We start from the raw sequence: 18680 nt of genomic DNA on the forward strand, positions 1-18680 counted from the left end.
GTGAGTGACTTTTCAATGTTAATTTTCTGGTATAACAAAGTAGGGTAAAGAAAATAAATGGGTTCTATCTTTATATTTACTTTTACAGGTATCATTTTATCACCCTATTTCTAAGTATTTCATGAAAAGATTCTAGATGTCAAAACCTGCAGTTAACGTTCCTGTTTAGAAATACGCAAAATAATACCTTTGACGTTGGCAACTCAGATGTATTATTCAGCAAAACAGCAATTACTCATTGTTTTGCACTTACATGTTAAGAACTATGAGACACTTGGTGACACAATAACAAAATTGCAAAGTCAATTACATTTAAAATAGACATCCTAGTAAAACATACACAACCAACTCCATTTACTTTTTTTGAACTGTTTTGTTTCCTTTTTCTGACTGTTTACAGTCAAATAGATTTCGTGAATGTTAAACCGAAGGATAACTGATTTACACACATCATGAGGGGGAAAAAGTTAGAAAGTAGGGGGAGGGGCATAACATAAAAAGGAAGTGTATTCCTGGGCACGCCAGAATCCGCCTAGGGAGGTGCCAGAATATTCTTAAATATTTTGGGAAATGATGTTCTTTTGCAATGTCAATCACAGTGGCAAACTTTGAAAGAGCAGTGTGCCATAATTTAAAGCAAAATTTAAGCTAGATTCACACTAACAATTCTATGCAGGACTAAAGTAGTAAAACCCACATAGAGTCCATTTATATTTAAGAATAGAGAACTTCAGGTGGGGCTAGGTGTTTGTTTTATGGTATTTTAATTGCAGAAGCAGAATTTTTGTAATTTGAACTCGCCAGTACTGAATTCCACCTCTCATCCCAGCCTGAAGCCTGAATTGAAGTTCCCATCAGAAAATTAAAATGTTTGTCTGGATAAAATAACTTCTAAATGAACTATTTCTTTTCGTTTCTTTTTGTATTTTCTGCAATGTAGCCCCTCGCAATGATATTAGTTCTAGTGTGGGAAAATATTATAATTGAGATTTGGTAAGTTATTTGCAGACTTTTCTTTACAGTTTTTCTTTACACTGTGCTGACATTTAGTACAGCCCTGGTGAGGAAAACAATACTACCATTCATAGCTCTAGACGTAGATTTCAATCGACTTAAGCGGGCACAATGAAACTTGGTCATTCACTGGTTACCCATATTGTGTTCTCAAATTTTCTCTCAGCAAAAGTATAATGACTCAGTATTGTATGGTTGCATAGACAAGGGCTCGGAACAAGAGACACTAGTTTTGTCTGACGGTGTGAGAAAGTCGTGAAGGGATCTTTTCTTCCAGATGGTGTTAAATTCAGCTGCCTTTTTAACATTGGCCTTGCACAGCAATCTGCTGCTCCCCTTTCACAAAGACTGCACTTGGTTCCCACTAGTTAACATGCATACTCACGCAACCTGCAACTTCACTCCAACTGTTTTACAATGCAGTGGTATGCTAAATAAACTTGATCCGGTTTCTGCCAATGTTAAAACTAGGTTTCAAAGAACTACTTAACTGATATTTACACTTCTTTTGACTTAAATGTACATGCCTTTGGAATATTACGGGTTTCAAAGAAATATCACCTTATTATAAGGTCAATGTACAGATTATTTCCAACACCCTTCAAACCTATGCTCAGATACAGTACCTCTCTTCAACACACACAAATAAAACAAAATGTCAGAAGTTTGATGTGTAATAGAAAAAAGAAAAATTGGGACATGTTGCACCAAGGGCAGTGGAACAGCAAAAAATAAAATGAAAATAATAACATTGAAATGTATTTTTATTGATCGATAAGTTATGTAACATTAGTATGATACAAAGCAAGTTTGATATGACAATGGCAAACACATAATTATAATATTGTTTATTTTCCTTAGATGTTATATTTAACATATTTACATAAAAGACCAAGATGTAGGCAAAAGCTTCAGTAATTTGACTTCATTGAGTGCTTTCAGTAAACAATAGGTTTCTCCAGCAAACATCTTATTGCCTTAATTGAACCTCCTTGAAAAAGAAAACCACACACTTTGTAATGTAAATGTTAATTGTAGTAGACAATGGTTCTAGGTAAATAGCACCCCTGGACATGAAGTAAATGAAAGGAATACAGGCACTTAACAATGAAAGGTTGTTTGCACAAACAGTGCTTCAAATGTAAATAAACAAGGGTCTTCTCAACGGTCACTACAGTAGTAAAACTCTGGCACGTGTACAGCAGCCAAATTGAGAATTTATGTATAAAGTCTCTCAGACTTTCTAACTGAAACTAACAGTGGTTTAACAGGCTTCTCCAGTCTGAAGTCATATAAGGAATTGAAGCTACAAAGGAAATTGTACTACTTTTAAAGAAAAATTGTATATTTGGGATTGTCAATAATCTAGGCCACGTGGAAGATAACAGGCTATTTTGGATATTTTCTAATTGCAATGGTTATATTTCTGTGTAAATGCCTATACAAATGTTTGCTTGGTGACATATGGAAAACTTAAGGACTTTTATGAAAAGGCGACAATGGGGACCTCCAAAGCGCCAAAGTTTCTGCTAGGCATAGTGTTATTTTTAGATTACATTAAAATGGCTATTTAGACCCATCTAGCTGAGACTATTCCAAAACAAACTTTTTATCATATTGTTATCATAATCAACTTTCTACAGGCTAATGACTTTATAGTTTTACTTCTAGTGTATATCTACTAGCACAATTAGACCAAGTTCCTAGATGTATCATGTTAAGAGGTAAAAAGCCTCATGAAATTATAATAACGACTGTTATATAGAGATATGTATTTTATCTCTATACACATTTGCCCACCCAAAACAAAAGCAAAAATGTGGTCACAAGGCCATAATCTCATGGACTGAGATTTTGACATTAGGGGCAGGCAGTCATGGGACTTTCTTGGAATTGCTTTCTACTAGCTTGCCTTGAATTCTGAAAATCTCAAACAACGAAGAAAGCCAAACTTAATTATGGCCAGATTAAACAGTGGTTAAAAAATTAACAGAAGCAGACTATGTAGCAGCTACAGACCAGTTGGTGCTGCCATTTGGGAAGCTGCAGATGGCTGTGGGTGGGAAATGCCTTTACTTTCTTAAGCGATGGAGATGAGTATGGTGTGTGCACTTGATGTTTTTTTCATACCCCCACCCCCCAACAGGGCTGTCTGTCATAGGCTGCCCGGCCCCGCTTTATCACTTGCCCCCGAGCGTGGGAATCGGAGCGTCCTGCCGTTCACATCTCCTGCATTCCGTTTAGCGGAATCAATTAGGCAAGACAGACCCTCAGATTCCCCACCCCCTTTCCATTTTTGTCAGGTCTATATACGTCCTAATTATTTCAGTTTGGGATGCCAGAGCTGTTTCCTGGATAGACCTGATCATCCTTAAACAAAAAGAGAGGAGGCGCACACGTGGGTTGTGGCGTAAATGTCACTTTCATTTCCAATGCTAGGCGCAGAGTAAGACAGAACATTTTTTTAACACTTTGACAAGAGGGGAGGCGATCTCGTCTCCATCATGTCTTTCTGCTTCAGTAGCTTCCTCAAGGAAACCCTCTTGGAACAGAGAAGCATCTGTCCTTGTATTTTGAATAGAAGAATAAAAATCAGCCCTTGCTTTTTTTTTTTTTTTTTTCATTTTGCCTGCTAGCTCTAAGTCCTCAGTAGATACAAATTATTAACCTTCCAGTATAAACTTTTCTGAAAGTCTAATTTCGTACAAATTGACATACAGCCCAAATACATGTAAAGTAATTTCCAAGCACAATCTTCAAATTTTGAGAGGGAGGTGCCTCCCAAAGGAACTGCCCAAGTCTACATATTATGGAATCATTTTTAAACTAGGTACCAGACATCTCTGCAACACCTTTCTAAGAAAAAAATCCCTGATATAACTTTTGCCTTAAAATAGAACAAACTGCACATGCATCTTTACTCATTATCACTATACACTTCTCCTTTGCAGCTGCAACAACCCCTCTCAAGACATATCTGGAACCTTGATATTTTAGCATGTGTGTGTCATTTAATTTTCTCTCATCCCACCTTTAATCATAAGGAAAAAAACAAAACAAAAACAAAGTTAGATTCAATAAGTATTCCTGACCTTTCTGGTTTTTACTGTCTCTCGGCTGTAGTCTTTCATTCTCACACGCTCCCCGGCGATCTTGAAGGAGTTTTTACTTTCGGTTATCTAGCTTTATGAAGACCAATACACTCATACAGCTAGATAACCAAAGATAACAACTCGCTTCCCACACAGGCCTCTGTCTTCCTCTTGCCAGACTCCAGGTCCTGATCCTTTCTGGCAGTACCGAAGAGTGGTCGTCCAGGATACTTGCCGCGCTTAAGATTCCTCCTTTTATGTAAATATGACCTGGTTTCTGTTTGTGTGTGTGCGCGGCTAAAACATCCAAACGAGATCTGTTGCCTTCAGAGTTTATTCCGAACTTTTCTTTTTCCTTTCAGCAAGTAATCTCCGGCAGCGTTAGCCAACAATTCATCTATTAATATCAGAAAATAAAACCAGCTATTAAGGTGCAGCAAGCTGTTACGAGTGAGCAGCAGCATCCGTCCCTTCACAGGCCTCTATTTGCATTGTAAATTGCTTCTTTCTCACGCAAGACTCTTTAGCCTCTCTCTATAGAGATGTATAAAGCCAACGGCAATTTCCAGCGCAGGTTAAGGAGGAAGGAAAAAAAAATCCCATTCTATAGAAGTGACAGCTGATTCAAGGATCTGTTCCTGATCCTTTTTGGTTAGGCACCATGGCTTTTTACCAAGCGGTGGCAGCTTGATTGCACATATCTTGTGTGTATGTGTTTTAGGGGGAAGATCCTCGATTTCACAGGGCTTCTAGGCTGGGAAGGAGAAGATGCCGTCTTGCTGGCCTGCTGCTGCCCCCGGTCTGAAAGAAGGAGAAAAGGGCCATCATTGGAGGGGCTTTCACTGCCAAATTGTGGACCAGCCCGGCAAGGTCAAAGGTTCGAGACCGCGGGAGACCAAGGTAATGATGATGTCATGAGAAATCTCAAGTACATGGTTATTGATATGCATCAGTGATCAGCCAACTGCCCCACGCCTGCTGCCCGAGCAGCGGCAGCGACAGCAGCAGTAGCGGCAGCATTGCAACAATCCCTATTTTCTCAATCAACATCTCTTCCGCTAGCACTACCGACTGCTCCTGGAAAAGCAACCCGCGGCCTTTTACCTCCTCCGTGCTAGTGTAGATCGTTCTAGTATCCAAAGACTGGAAGAAATCTCTCTCTAAGGACAGATAAAAGCATTTCAGATCTGGGGAACGTCTTTGCCTGCATTTTTCTTCTGGCAGATTGCATAGGCAGACAGATGGAAGGCACTTTGCTATTGCTTAAAGCAGGGCCTCGTTTTCTGGGGCTGGGAATCAGATCTGTATTACGCAGTGAGTCGATGTGTGATTACATTGACAATTTGCTCTGGTGGTGTGTTTTTAATGGCTTCACAGCTCAGTCATGTTTTGTATCTATGTACCATGGCGATAGGGCAGCATATTTTGTTCTGTAAGTTCGAACTGAATGCTCTAAGCAAGCGGACTTCATCGTGGTTTTTAAAAAATGACTACATATGTAGGGTGTGTGCGTTAGAATGCAGCACAGGTAAACCTTGCAGCAATAGTTTCTAATGCTGTACACAACTCTGCTGTAATGAAAATCCTGAGCCTTTGTCTATTGTTTTAAACATCAATTTTCATACAAAAGGATAATGTAATAGTCTTGCTTCTGAAACTATGAAAAAAAACGTTGTTACCTCGTGAAGAACACATATAAAACACCTGGATGTTAAGAGCATAACTCTGCCCTACCTTCCCCTTCTCCAACCCCCACCTTTCTTCTATCTAGAGGGGAATGTTGTTTTATTAATTAATTAGCCTCATTCCTTTTCTTAGAACTTTTCAAAGTGTGAATATGATCACTTCAAAGAGTCCTTTTCTTCTTCTCTCTCCTTAGTAATGAGTAATCTATGTCTAACTCATCTATAATACATGCAGTTGTAATATTCAAATGTCCCTCAACAGAACATCTAAGATAGTCTACATTAAATTCATATTTACCAAGGGTGAACCTTATGAACTGCTTTTCAAAATTTCAAGTTATGTTTGGTCATATTGCTATTCTTTAAAATATATGCTATTAGAGTAATCTTAATATTCATTGCACACATGACTACTTTATCACAATACTCTCAATTCTATAGATTATTTTCCCCAACAACTAAAACACTTTTGGAATTAACATACACTCTTTCATTAATTCAGTGACTTATTCATTTATGACATGAATGTGAACATGCTTACTGAATTATATACAGAGCACATATATGTAAACCCTATAAAAAAGACTAGCAAGAAAATCAGAATAGTTAGGAAAAGCTTATAATCAAGAGTTTAAACTACAATATTACACCAATTAAAGATATGATTTAGTAACATAGATGCCAACTTTTCCCTAGATTTTTTATTTATTTACTTTTTTTGGTGAACATTCCAGTACTGATTATTTAGAAAAGACTAAGCTGTTGAAATTGTTCATCTATTTTTCTTACCAAATTATGGTACAAGAGGTACAATCAGAAATGGCTGCATTGGGTTATACATAAAATGCACAAGCAAACCAAAAACTAACTCAGAGAAACACACCTCCATGAAGTTACTGTTCCTTCTCGAACTAGCTGGTCACAACATACACTACTAAATAAAAATGTAACACATCACTGAGGCACATTCCACCTTAGACATTACATAAAACACTAATGAGCTCTGCCGCCTTGGAAGAGTGAGAGTATTGTGGCCTTGCTTTCCAAGACACAGATGCAGAATCATTAGTGATTTGGCATGTATTACATAAAGCAAGCATGTGGTCAGATGACAGGTATTTTTAGAATATCTTTTTGCTTTATATATACTTGGGTGGGGGCTGGTGGAAGCAAAGAGATGTCATGCATTTGTCTGTGCATGTTTATCACCCCCATATCTGTGTGAATTTGCAAAGTAACATGGCTATATTTCCACACTTAGCAACTAAATGCATTTTTAGAACCAAAGTATCCATCATGAAAGCCAAGACACTGAACATTTGAGATGCTTTTACAATTAAAAGCTATAGAAGATACTGTCTTAAAACAGCATCTTCTAGGGCAATGCCACATAGTCATATCAACTGGACTCCGGGCCTGGTCCCCATGTCTGGCATATATAACATAGACTCATCATGGGAGTCCCAATAAGTGAAAGGAACCAACATTAGGATTATGAGCAGTCTGTTCATTAGCCAGATAGCCAACTAAATATTTTACTCTCCACCATCTCTCAGGATATGCAGAAATAAAAACTACACAGTAAGGCTTAACACAGAGCATCTGATTATTTTGAATATTGCCAAGGTTTATATGATGGTTTATACATATTTCAAAGACTGTATTATTATATAGGATGTGAGACAAGTTGAAACAATTGTGTAGCCCTAAAGATTCCTAGCAATGTCTGTCACATATTAAGAGCAACTATTAACACCTACATGTTATATCAGATATTTTTGCTTTCAAATAGCTATTAAGCTGAGCAGAATACCAGTTTTGAAATCTGCATTCTGAAGGATATACTGAATTTAAATGGTTTGCCTGCTCATTCACTAATAAATTCCCATTAATGGCCAGTAGATTAGGACGTGATTGTCATGCTTGTTTTCTAATCTTTTTATAGATCTCCAGATGGCTGAAACATGAATTGAAACATTCTGGTTTACCTGGGAGTAGACAATCTCTATTTCAGTTAAAAGTGAAAAGTTACGTTTTCCACATTATTTGGATCAGAATTATGCTATTTCATAAATTCAAATACATTAGGTTTGTCACCATATTTAGAACACCTCTGAATCCTATTCAGATTACTGCAAAGCACATGAAGAACTGGCCTATCACTGAAATCCCCTTTTAATATTTGGTTTGTATGATTCAAATGCATGTAAACCACAGTGCACTAGTACAGTCAAGACTACCATTTTCTACATAAAAGCCATTTAATTTACAGTGATTTGTATAGTTCAGGCAAGGTACCTGACTGGCTTACTTTCTAACAAAAGTATTCTATTATTTACTCTGTATCTTGAATTTCTTTTTTATAGGCAGTTACAGGTTATATTTGTATTATGCTTGATATATAATATACAAAGGCTCCCTGTAGAGGAGAAGGCTGCACATATAGAAACTTAGAGCATGAATTAGGAGATATGCAACCCACTGCATGCCTACCGCCTAGTAAATAATACTCTATTTTGTACATCACTTGGATTTTATCAAATGTAAATTTTAAAATTACCTTTGGTTGGTTGGATTGTCTATTCATTTTATGCTTCTTTGCAGTCTCATCTGAAAAATAGTCAAGAAAACAAATGATCACAGTTTATATATATGTATACATATGAAGTCATATAGATATTGCTTCATTTAAAATATTGCTATTAACATGATTCCTTAAAATGCCAGAGATTCCATAAAACCCCAGTACAATGTATCCTAGGTCTCAGCACCCACGGGGTTAAATATGCTAATTTGCATTCAAATGGAGACATGCATGATAATGTGAATGCAAAATATGCAGAATCTGGAGGGGTTTGAGAAATTAATTTTTCTTTCTTCTTTTCTTTTATTTTTAGCTTGGAAGGAAGAGGGACTCTTAAAAAAACATTAGGGACTTGAACCTTGTAACCTGCCATACAAAAGAGGAGAGTCCTTCCATGTAAGGATTTTAAGTCTGGAACAAAGTCTTATTTTCTAAATGTTTAAGGAACTGAATTTCCAGGCCTTTCGAACAATGGCAATCCCTGGATAAATATCTACTCCATTAGAAAGATGCAAATAGTTTACTGTAAGGCCACAGCACCGTGAGATGTGCATTCATATCTATGGCTCCTGATTGGCTCTTTCCTCCAGTAAATCAATGAATAATGTAAAACCTGATTGCTGTAAAGTGGTGGATTTTTGAAAATTTCCCTTCCCCCATTCCCTCTCGATCCAACATTCAGGAATTCAATACTCCCCAAAATAGGTTGTTTTTCTTTTATGATTTTTTAATGCTTATTGTTATTTTGGACTGGAGGGGTGGGGCTATTGGTTTTGCAAAATGAAAGTATTGCCCTGGTTTAATTATGCTGACTGTGGGAGCTCGCTTCCTGAGACAGCGCCCTAATTACCGGTGCCAAGGTGGAGAAAGGAGGGTGGTAGACAGAGGTGGACACCAAGAAAGGGAGGAAACGGAACCCGACTCTGCGGTGCTGGGCCCAAGGCAGCCACAGCTCCAAAGGGGCCCCCGGCCGTGGCCGTGACTTGACAGAGCCTCCGGTCTAACTTCTGATCAATTCCACTGCTCTCCTGACCCCTCAAGACAGTCCCCCATTCAAGCACCGCGGGTACATTTGCAAGATAAAACGCCGCAGACACTAATGCAAATACATTGCCCGAGTTCCCATCACCCTGGGTTCCTGCAGATAATTCCAGGCCACAGAAAGGAGTTCTTGCCTTCCTCAGCCGGGTCTAGACTCTAAGCAAACCGCAAAGACCTAGCTCCGTTTGGATACCAGAAGCGTCTTAAGCTGAACCGCTCCAAGTACCAATAACTAACCATGATGGTTGCATCTTGATGAATCTGAACTTGGGATAACCCTGTAAAGCGGCCTCTCACCTCCCAAAATTCAAAAGGCAAAGAGAAAAGGGAAGTGGAAAGCCACCAGATCTACTTAGCTACTGTACTAAGTTTTCCACCAAAATCTAATCAGACCCTCGCTTCCTTGCCAGGTAATTGCAACTTTGGGGCGGTTAAAGGGAGGCGAATTCTTCAAAATGCGAATTCGAATACAGAAGTGCAAAATACAAGTGCATTTTGCTCTAGGTTTAAAAGGGAAAAGCCCCCCCAAACACACCACCACCACCACCACCACAAAATTACATACAAAAATTCCCTTTTCCAACGCGAAGATTTCCTGGCATCTCTCTGCGATTGGGGGTCAAGCCGCTGGATAATTAACAGTACTGGCTAAGAAAACTCACGAGATCAACAGGTTTAACATCCGAGGCACACAATCAATTAGCTGAAGCAAAGCCCCGGACTGGCCCTCGGAGCGGCCCGCAGCGGGACTCTGCGGGCACCGGCTAGCGGGCGAGGTGAGGAGTGCGGGCGCGGGGCCGCGGCGGGCACTGCTGGCCTCGCGCCGCGGGCGAGCTGCAGCCTGAGGGCCGCCACGATACTCACTTGATCTCCCTGCGCCAGGCAATGCTGCCCCCCAAATCCAGCTGGGCAGGAACCGAGGCGCCGGCTGAAAGACAAGATCCAAAGTCACAGCACGGCCGCAGCACACAAACAGGCTTCTTTCGGCGTCTCCAAAAAAAAAAAAAAAAATGTTTTTCTCATCATTCCTCTCCCCTGCTCAACACATTTAAAACTGCCGCTCAATTCCACATGGTGATTCTTGGTTGATTGCGTCTAAAATAGTTTAAATGGGTCTTCCCTTCTGGGGAGAGGGAGAAGGGCGCAAAAGACCAAGGAGTAAAAAAAAAGCCAACTTTTACCCCCCATGCCAGGCACTTGCTCCCTGAGCCTCGGAGTGGAGAGTGAAGTGGTGTGTGCGAGGCTTGGCAAGTTTTTGGGGGGGCTGTCCAAGGTCTAGTCCAGCCCCCTCTGCCGAGGAGGACGTGCTCTGAAACTCAACCAATTTCCCCACTGCTTTTGTTACTGATGAACTGAAGCCCTATTGTTCATCCATTGCCACGGTCTTTTTCAGTCCCCACACTACGTTCTGCGTTGCCAGAGATAATGAATTTGCACCCAAACCTCTCATAGTCCCCTCCTGACAGACGGAACAAATTAGAAATGTCTCGTCTGAAGGAAGGCAATGGCTACATTTTCCTATTGTAGGATGCAAAGCACACATTTCTTTGGAAACTTCTTTTGCTTTTTTCTTTTTTTTAAAATCCTTTTCTTCTCTTTTTCTTTTTTCCTCCAGTTTTTTTTTCTCTCTCTTGGTTTCTTAAGATTCTTCTTTTTTTTTTATTACAGAATCTCCCTGTCGTTTTTCCAATGCACTGTTTTATGTAACTTGTGAGTCTTCCTAACCTTCTTCCCCTTCTTTCCTCTCCTTTCTTAAGGACTCCCTTTGCAATTTTATTTACAAACTTGGAGAATGACCTTTTGACTCGCAGACTTTTTTTTTTTTAAAGGTCTTTTGGTTCAAGTCCCCCTTCTTCACTCCTCCCCGTTTGTGTCGTGGTTGTTAAATGTGTTTAGCTAAAGACAAGCAATGCATTCTAAAGAATTTTATTCTCTAAACTCTAGAGGTATTCTAAATGTACCAGGGACGCGCCATAGGGGTCATCTATTTGAGGAGGAAGAAAAAGCGGGTGTGTGTGTGTGTGTGTGTGTGTGTGTGTGTGCGCGCGCGCGCGCGCGTCTGCCTTCCACGGAAAGAGAGACGGAGAGATGTGGGAGGGTGGGGGTGGAAGTATGCAGACAGAGAAGGGTGGGGGCTTCGAGGGGAAGGTGGGCTTCCTGCAACACAAGCGGAGAGGCTGTCAGGGGTGTGGGCACGGGGGTGCGGGGAGGCGGTGCAGGAATCCGTCCCGCCGAGTGCCGTCGGCCCCTGTGGGCCTGTTTGCGCGCCTGGGGCTGGCCGCATTCTGGGCGCGGGTGTCTGCGTGCCGGGGTGGTAGTTCCGAGCCTGCGCGCGTGCGACCGGGTACGGGAGGGGGAAGAGTGCCGTAAAAATTCAGACGAGTGGCCCGTATGTAAATGCAGCCCGCGGGGAGCAGGGAGGCGGTAATGACAGCCGCTGGCGCTCAGCCCCGCCGGCGGCCCCTAGCTTTCCCGCCAAGTGCAGCCGGAGGACAGACAGCCATGCGTGTCCTTGGCGGGAGAGCCCCCACCCGCCGCGCGCGCCCGACCCCCGCGCACACGCACACACTCCCCTCGCAGGCGTGGGGCCCAATGGCCACGAACATGTCAGGAAAACAAAGCTGGGGCTGCGAGGTGGAACGATGAAACGGCACACTTGGCGGCCGAGGGCAGAGCGGAGAAGTCGCCACCACAGCCACCGGCGCCCCTTTCTTGCCTGCTCGTAGATCTGCCCTCCGGCCCAGAAGAGGCCGAGGACCATTTCTTAGCTGCCCCAGAGGAGGGGGCGAGCAGAGGAGGGGGCGGATGTGCACAGGGAGGTGCCAGCGGTCCGGTGCGCGGGCACGCACACGCCGGCGCGCAGGGCTGCCGCGGGCGGAAGGAGGGGAATGACAAGGCCTCGGCCGCGTCTCGGAGAGGCACTACCTCCGCGCTGAGGCCGCTGAGTTTCAAGTGCAAAACACCAGGCCAAATCCGGCAAGGCGGCGGCTACAGAATGGCTCACACTTCAAGCCTCCTTCCTCAAACAATCCGATGGGAAGGACCTGGCTGTTCAGGGGAAGCCTTTGCTGGCCTCTCTTTTTACATGGGGTGAAGTCGAACCCCAATCTAGGAGCCCTGGCCTAGATGGCTCCGCAGATGAGTCCCAGACGTGGCCATGGAAAGACTGATCTCTCTCTGCTCAGAGCGCCTGCCTCGGTGCTCACTAGCGCAAGCACCTCCCAACACACATACATACATACACACACACACACAACACAGCACTCCCATCACATTAAAACGCGCGCTCATGATCCTGCCGTTAATGAAGCCGAGGCGCATAATGAGTGCACAGGTAAATAGGTACCGAAACCAGAAGACTTCACCAGTCGGCTGGGCGATTTACCTCTCCCTACAGGGAGCACTTGTAGTTATCGTGTTTTAGGAGTGATTTGCTGTTGTCTGTGGTCTCTCGCTCCTCTTCTTGTGGAGAGAAGCCAAAAAATATATATGTTCCGTGGTCAGAGTCTTCTTTCTGATAAGCTACCCGAGCATTGGTCTAAAACATCTGTTTTATCTGTTGATTTTGGTTTGTTGTTTTGGGGAGTGTTGCTTTTCTGAGGGAAGCAAAAGAACGTGTGTGTGGTGGGGCTGGAAGCTCAGGGCAAGAGTCTGCGTGTGCGGCCGGAAGGCTGGCGAGTCTGAGAGCCGCGCGGTGCAGAAAGAAGGCGGCGGCTTGTCCTCCCCCGGGGCCGGCACTGGTCCCTTGGCACCCCGGCCTGGGCTCGGCTACTGCCGCCGCCGCCCGCGCTCTCGGGCTCCGCCGGCTGCCGCTCCGTGTTTTCCCCCATCCCGGCTTCACGTTCAAGGTTTAGCTGCGAGGTCACGTCCATTGACGTCAGCTCCCTGTCTCCCTCTACGTCCGGCTACATTTACATACATCAAGGAAATTAGGGCATTAAAAAAATATGCAAATCCTGCGCGAAGAGGAGCGGGTGCATTCCTGGCGCGATCGCCTTTTATTGAAGCTTTTAATTAAAGGGGCCAGTTGGCGAGCCCCTGAAACAACCGCCAAAACCCCCCAAAAGAGAAAAATAAACGCTGTAGCCTTCGAGAACGGTTGTTTCGGCTCCTGTTCTGTGGGCGGCTGAGGACCGCCGGCTGCCCGGCTCGGAGAAGAACAGGTTAGAGGAGGCAGCTCCAGCCCATGCATAATCAGGGCTCCGCGGCGCCTCCATTCTTTCCTCCTCCTCCTCCTCCTCCTCCTCCTCCTCCTCCTCCTCCTCCTCCTCCTCCTCCTCCTCCTCCTCTTCCACCTCTCCTCCTCCTCCTCCTTCTCCTCCACCTCCTCCTCCTCTTCTTGCTCTCGCTCCTGTTGGTTCCAGCGTGTATTATTTTTAATACTGATGCATATGTAAAGGTATATTTGCATTTTTTAATTTGCGAGAATTTCAGATTTTGTCATTTTATTGGTTCCCTTTCCCTCTTTTTTTTTTTGGAGGATTTTTATTGTTGTTATTTTATTATGTCTATGTGTCTCTCTTGTCCCTTTCTGTCTTTTTTGGCGAGTGTCTGCTGCTGTCTCTTGCTAGATAATATACACAGTTACCTCCCTGCTTCTGTTTATTTAAGGTTACAAATATGCACATCTGTCATGTATGCAATGCCAGCTGTATAACCTCCTGGTTTGGTCATAAAGGAAAATACACATTTTTTTTTCTTTCTTGACATACCTTGATGGGCTGTAGTGCCCATCGCTCAAGGCTCAAAGTTTGATTGTCTAATTAACTTCATATTAGCAGAAACACAGTTCGGGGCCAGTGCTTTCGAGATAATGTATGTATAAGTGAAGTGATTCCAAAGATTTCTAAATAATTTTTGTGCTGATTGCCTGAGAGGTGCGGCATTCCCCGCCCTATTGCTTTCTAGCATTTCTTATTGAAAAAAATATATATATTTTAAAATGGGTAGACACAGCAATGGACAGCCTTCTGCAAGGAAGACATTTTCAACCATGTTGTATGTTGTACCTTATTGGCTGCATTCAAAATTTACTGAGTTTCATTTTTATCTTAATATGGCTGGAAACAAGGCACATTATCTTGACTGAAAAGCATCCTTGATTCCTGACTTTGAAATGAAAGCAAATACACAAATAAAACAATTGGCTATATTAAACCAGTTGATGTGGCTTAAAATATACAGGCCTTGAGTTAGATTTCAAGCAATGGTAATCTTGTTTATAGGATCGGATTCTCTTTCTTGGCAATATAGCTATGCAGCACGATGGCTTTTTTCCACCTTTTAATTCCCCCAAGCTATCATTTAAAAAAGACTCAATCTATAATTGCAAACCCTGAAAGAACAGCAAGTATGCACACATGCAGCTTATTCAATTAAACAAGTCCAAGTACATGCACAGGTAATTAGTTTTCTTATGAATGACTTACCTGCACAGATACTCAGGCCAAGACTCAGCCCTCCCCAATGGCCTTCATGTATAAATATTCACATGTATTTCCCCCTATTTCAAACCTAAAGCGGTATGCCATCTTTCATGCTGGACTATCCAGCATCCATTTTCAGCACCCTTAACTCTTATGGAATTTCCAGCCTTACCTCTGGCTGTAGTTTTTCCAAGCCTACACCAAAGTGCTCATATGATATGTCACCCAATAAAAAGTGGTCAGATGGCTACACGTATGACATTAAAAAGCAGAAACACATTCATCCTTCAGGTTCGCCTTTACCTTGCCATATATAGCAAGATTACGTTTCCTAAAATACATTTTCAGCACATTTTATGAATAATTGCAGGATTCCACAACTGATTGCAGAATAGCCGGTTTCTGGGGGGCACCTGGCTGAGTGAAACAATTCGGCAGGCTCAAGGTCTCTTTGAGTTTGGCTGCAGTTAAATTGCGCGTGGCTGTTTGTTCCTGCCTGGACTCTCCCACATACCTGCCTACCTTTATGTAGGATCAGGACAAACACACCGGCCACGTTGCAGGGCATAGAGTGTCGGTGCATATATTTAGATGGCAGTAGCAAGGAACGCGTGCGTGTACGGCTGAGCATGCATGTGTGTACAGATGCGTGTGTATGTGCGCGCGCGCGCTATGTGACAAGGAACACAGAGAGGTACACCTCTTATCTCTGATCTCTCTGTAATCTCCTTTTCTGTTTCTAATCTCCCTTATTGGCGCATGGTAGTAACCCAAAGCGTGTGAACCGTCACCGTCGCTGCCGTGTGCGCGCTGTGGCTTACCCCGAGGGCCGGTGGCTCGGTGACTCGCTGGCTAGGTGGGTGTTGGGGAAGAGGGTGGGTAGCGTCGCTGCCGCTGCCGCCGCGGGTCCGGGTGCTCTGTCCCAGCCCGGCAGCCGAGCGCGCAGTGTCGGAGCCCCCTCCCACCCCGCCCTCACCCCCATCCTCCCCTCCCCTCCCTTCTGCGCCTCCCCCAACCCCCCGCCCCGCATTACCATATGGAGGCCGAGTCCCTGCGAATCACAGCAGCAGCGGGAGGTATTTGAATAAGCCCCGCAACCCCGCGCAGACCCCAACTCCTCCGAGAGCAGCATGCCCTGCACCAAGAGCCACCACTCTGGCCGGTAACCTGGCAGCGACAGACAACTCCCCAAAGTGCCCTGCGCGCGGTGGAGAGAGGGTCTGCTGAGGGTACTGGGTCTCCCACTTGCTACTTTTATATTAACTTGACATAGAATCAGACAATAAATGAGAGGAGAGAGAAGAGAAGAGGAAAGAAGAGACAGAAAAAGGGAGAGGCGCTGTAAAGGGGAGAGAGAAAACAGAAGCGAGAATGGGAGAGAAAAAGGAGAAAGAGAACCCAAAGGGTTGAGTTAAAGAGAGAGTAAAATGGGGACCGGGTGGGGAAACGGTGGGAGGGGGAGAAATACCCAAATATCTGAATTTGGACTTCTCAAGCTAAAAATACCACCTCACTGAACTTCACAACCTCCAATGAGACACGTGTTTCTCCCCTCACCACCACGTCACCGAATGATTAATTTGCCGTCTCAATCAGAAATAATTATTTAGAATTGTATAACAGATATAGGACTTAGCAGAAAGAAGCTCATTTTATGAAACATAGCGAAAAATATATGACATTTAAAGATGATGTTGGCTACCTCACGGTAAAAATTAAGGCTTGCCTTAACGACTCGGCAGTTGTCCAACCATGTCCTCTGAAATGGTGAGATGGCGGCCCAGGGCCAGCAACAAGAGGTGTTCCGAAATATTTTGGACTTTAAGTGAAAATTTTTTTTCTTCCTGTCTCAAATTTTATTGTTACGTTTTTCTTCTTCACGAATTTATTCCTTTTACCTAAATTTTACAGATAATATGTGAATCTTTTAAAAAATTTTACTGCAAAATGTCACATTTTGACTGAAGATATGATTTTAGACGTTAATTTAAACACATAGCCAGTTCCATTTTGCAAACTAACTCTGAATAGCACCTGATTCTGAATTTAGCCAATTCAACTCACTCTCCCTCTCCCTATCCTCAAATCAGAGCAGTGATTTCCCTGTACAAAACAATCAGAATCATACTAAAATCTCCAGTCACCTAGAGGATGTACCCATTGTAAATGTCCCTTTAGGTATTCATAAGCCAAACGCCCTTCTTTTGAAACACATACAAAAAGAACGCCTCTGATTAATAATCTCTTTCGCGGCACACTGAGGCCGAAGGCAGGGAGCCGCAGGACGCCAGAGAAGGGCGCAGAATTCTCAATACCTAGCATTTCAATGCAGATTCCAAAGATTCGCTAACTGCTAGGTTTTCCAAGAGGAAATAATATTTGGCAAGCAACGCTTTTGGGAAAGACAACCACATTCCAAATACTGGCTCCTTCCTGGGCCTGGGGAGGGGACTGCGATCGCGGTTACCCGGCACTTCTGTGTTCATGTGTGTACAAGGTGGTATGTAGCCCACGCATGTAGCCAGGCCTAGGTTTCTTTCTTTTCTTTTTCTTCTTCTTTTTCTTTTTTCTTTTTCTTTTTTTTTTTTTTTTTTTTTTTTGAGGCAAGAATATTGAAACCAATCCACTCTTTCTGTAGCTAGCTCCCACGAAGCTGGGATTTTCAACCTCTTGTTTATTCGTAAAGCCCATATGGAACCCCGGTTGAATCTCCCCTCTTCGGATTTTACCAGGAGGCCCTCAGTGCCCCACCGCCGCCCATGGCACGTGAAGAGAAAGGAGGGAGAGTTGGGAGCCACGAGAGAAGCCGGCTCGGAGCCGCTTCCGTCGGGGCCCATGTTTCGCCCCAACAGACCCGTCTCTCCTTTCTCTCCCCGAAGGTACTTCCTTAGGCCGGCAGTGTCGCTACGGTGGTAGCCAGGTGAGCACGGGCACAGTCCCGGGGCGGGGGCGGGTAGAGCGGCCCTCTCTCGGGAGCTCCGGTGGGTCTGCGAACCTGCCGGGAGCGGAAGGCTGAGTGGCGCTGGGGGCCCGCGCGGGGCTCCTGGCTCCCGCCGGCAGGGGAACAGCGACACCTACTGGCCGCATGGGTACCGCGCCCGGGCCGTCAGGGCTGCCCTGGGACGGGGTGCCGGGCTCCGTGGACTTGGGAGGCCGCGGGAAACTTCACCGAAGGCTCTGCGGACTGCTCTAGGACTCGTCCGCCCTGGAGAAGACAAAGCCACGCTTTCTGGAGACCCCTGGGAGGACTGTAGGATGGAACTGAACACACAGGCACACACGCATGCCCATTTTTTCTGGGGAACCGGATAAACCCTCAGATGCAGTTGCCCACCGTCCCTTGGTTTTATGAGAGAGACCCAAGCAGAGGTCGGAGCCTTGACCTCCTCAGGTTCATGACCCAGGCCTCTTCACCGCCTTTCCCAGTTCAGCACTGACTAAAGAAGATATCTTTACAAATTAGGAAAAGAAAAGAGTTCATTATCCTCCCTGAAGCGGGGAAATGAGTGAGTCAAAGACACAGACTCACAGGCAGCGGTTGGCGCCGGGCACACGAACCGGCCGAGCCCTCCTGCTAGCCAGCTTCGGGCACCTTTAGTGCGCCCTGAGACTGCCGCCAGGGAGTGAAATTTGGTAGCTCTTCTTTAAGAATTACAATCTTCTTAATTACTCCTGAAATAAAGGCAAATTTGGGCTACTGGTGATATTTTTGAGAACTACAGGTATATATGCATATATAAATATATATATTTAAAGCATATATACCAAAGCAAATATATACATAAAGTATATGCATATGTGTGTGTACATATATACTCACACACATACACATGTGTGC

At 43.9% G+C, this 18680-nt stretch overlaps 2 long non-coding RNA genes and 1 other non-coding gene across 16 annotated transcripts in view, besides 8 other annotated features; 1 reads left to right on the plus strand and 2 right to left on the minus strand.

Annotated features, from left to right (window-relative positions):
• MIR9-2HG (MIR9-2 host gene) overlaps positions 1-18680 on the minus strand; it is a 152776-nt gene that overhangs the window by 124419 nt on the left and 9677 nt on the right. For 2 of the 14 annotated variants that reach the window (NR_152233.1, NR_152234.1), the window contains 3 exon segments: positions 1761-4907; positions 8352-8401; positions 10281-10344. This is a non-coding gene — a long non-coding RNA (MIR9-2 host gene). 14 annotated transcript variants of the gene reach the window in all.
• Positions 963-1786: an enhancer, noted in NCBI's record as "OCT4-NANOG hESC enhancer chr5:87959465-87960288 (GRCh37/hg19 assembly coordinates)". NCBI's record gives its function as "activates a minimal SCP1, AML or CMV promoter by ChIP-STARR-seq in primed H9 embryonic stem cells {active_cell/tissue: H9 hESC(primed)}" and the evidence as "EXISTENCE:reporter gene assay evidence [ECO:0000049][PMID:30033119]".
• Positions 1787-2609: an enhancer, noted in NCBI's record as "OCT4-NANOG hESC enhancer chr5:87960289-87961111 (GRCh37/hg19 assembly coordinates)". NCBI's record gives its function as "activates a minimal SCP1, AML or CMV promoter by ChIP-STARR-seq in naive and primed H9 embryonic stem cells {active_cell/tissue: H9 hESC(naive and primed)}" and the evidence as "EXISTENCE:reporter gene assay evidence [ECO:0000049][PMID:30033119]".
• On the minus strand, positions 4169-4255 carry MIR9-2 (microRNA 9-2). Its single transcript, NR_030741.1, has one exon. It is a non-coding gene; the product is annotated as a microRNA 9-2 (primary transcript).
• Positions 8981-9593: an enhancer, noted in NCBI's record as "OCT4-NANOG-H3K4me1 hESC enhancer chr5:87967483-87968095 (GRCh37/hg19 assembly coordinates)". NCBI's record gives its function as "activates a minimal SCP1, AML or CMV promoter by ChIP-STARR-seq in primed H9 embryonic stem cells {active_cell/tissue: H9 hESC(primed)}" and the evidence as "EXISTENCE:reporter gene assay evidence [ECO:0000049][PMID:30033119]".
• Positions 9594-10207: an enhancer, noted in NCBI's record as "OCT4-NANOG-H3K4me1 hESC enhancer chr5:87968096-87968709 (GRCh37/hg19 assembly coordinates)". NCBI's record gives its function as "activates a minimal SCP1, AML or CMV promoter by ChIP-STARR-seq in primed H9 embryonic stem cells {active_cell/tissue: H9 hESC(primed)}" and the evidence as "EXISTENCE:reporter gene assay evidence [ECO:0000049][PMID:30033119]".
• Positions 12506-12605: an enhancer, noted in NCBI's record as "active region_22758". NCBI's record gives its function as "activates an Ori minimal core promoter by ATAC-STARR-seq in GM12878 lymphoblastoid cells {active_cell/tissue: GM12878}" and the evidence as "EXISTENCE:reporter gene assay evidence [ECO:0000049][PMID:35858748]".
• Positions 13043-13608: an enhancer, noted in NCBI's record as "OCT4-NANOG hESC enhancer chr5:87971545-87972110 (GRCh37/hg19 assembly coordinates)". NCBI's record gives its function as "activates a minimal SCP1, AML or CMV promoter by ChIP-STARR-seq in naive H9 embryonic stem cells {active_cell/tissue: H9 hESC(naive)}" and the evidence as "EXISTENCE:reporter gene assay evidence [ECO:0000049][PMID:30033119]".
• MEF2C-AS2 (MEF2C antisense RNA 2) overlaps positions 13534-18680 on the plus strand; it is a 46614-nt gene continuing 41467 nt past the window's right edge. The window contains exon 1 of the long non-coding RNA NR_146284.1: positions 13534-13579. This is a non-coding gene — a long non-coding RNA (MEF2C antisense RNA 2). The remainder of the gene's footprint in view (positions 13580-18680) is intronic.
• Positions 17291-17791: an enhancer, noted in NCBI's record as "H3K4me1 hESC enhancer chr5:87975792-87976292 (GRCh37/hg19 assembly coordinates)". NCBI's record gives its function as "activates a minimal SCP1, AML or CMV promoter by ChIP-STARR-seq in primed H9 embryonic stem cells {active_cell/tissue: H9 hESC(primed)}" and the evidence as "EXISTENCE:reporter gene assay evidence [ECO:0000049][PMID:30033119]".
• Positions 17817-18006: a silencer, noted in NCBI's record as "silent region_16164". NCBI's record gives its function as "represses an Ori minimal core promoter by ATAC-STARR-seq in GM12878 lymphoblastoid cells {active_cell/tissue: GM12878}" and the evidence as "EXISTENCE:reporter gene assay evidence [ECO:0000049][PMID:35858748]".

The sequence above is a fragment of the Homo sapiens genome, chromosome 5 (genome assembly GCF_000001405.40).
Source record: "Homo sapiens chromosome 5, GRCh38.p14 Primary Assembly".
NCBI classification, from domain to species: Eukaryota; Metazoa; Chordata; class Mammalia; order Primates; family Hominidae; genus Homo; species Homo sapiens.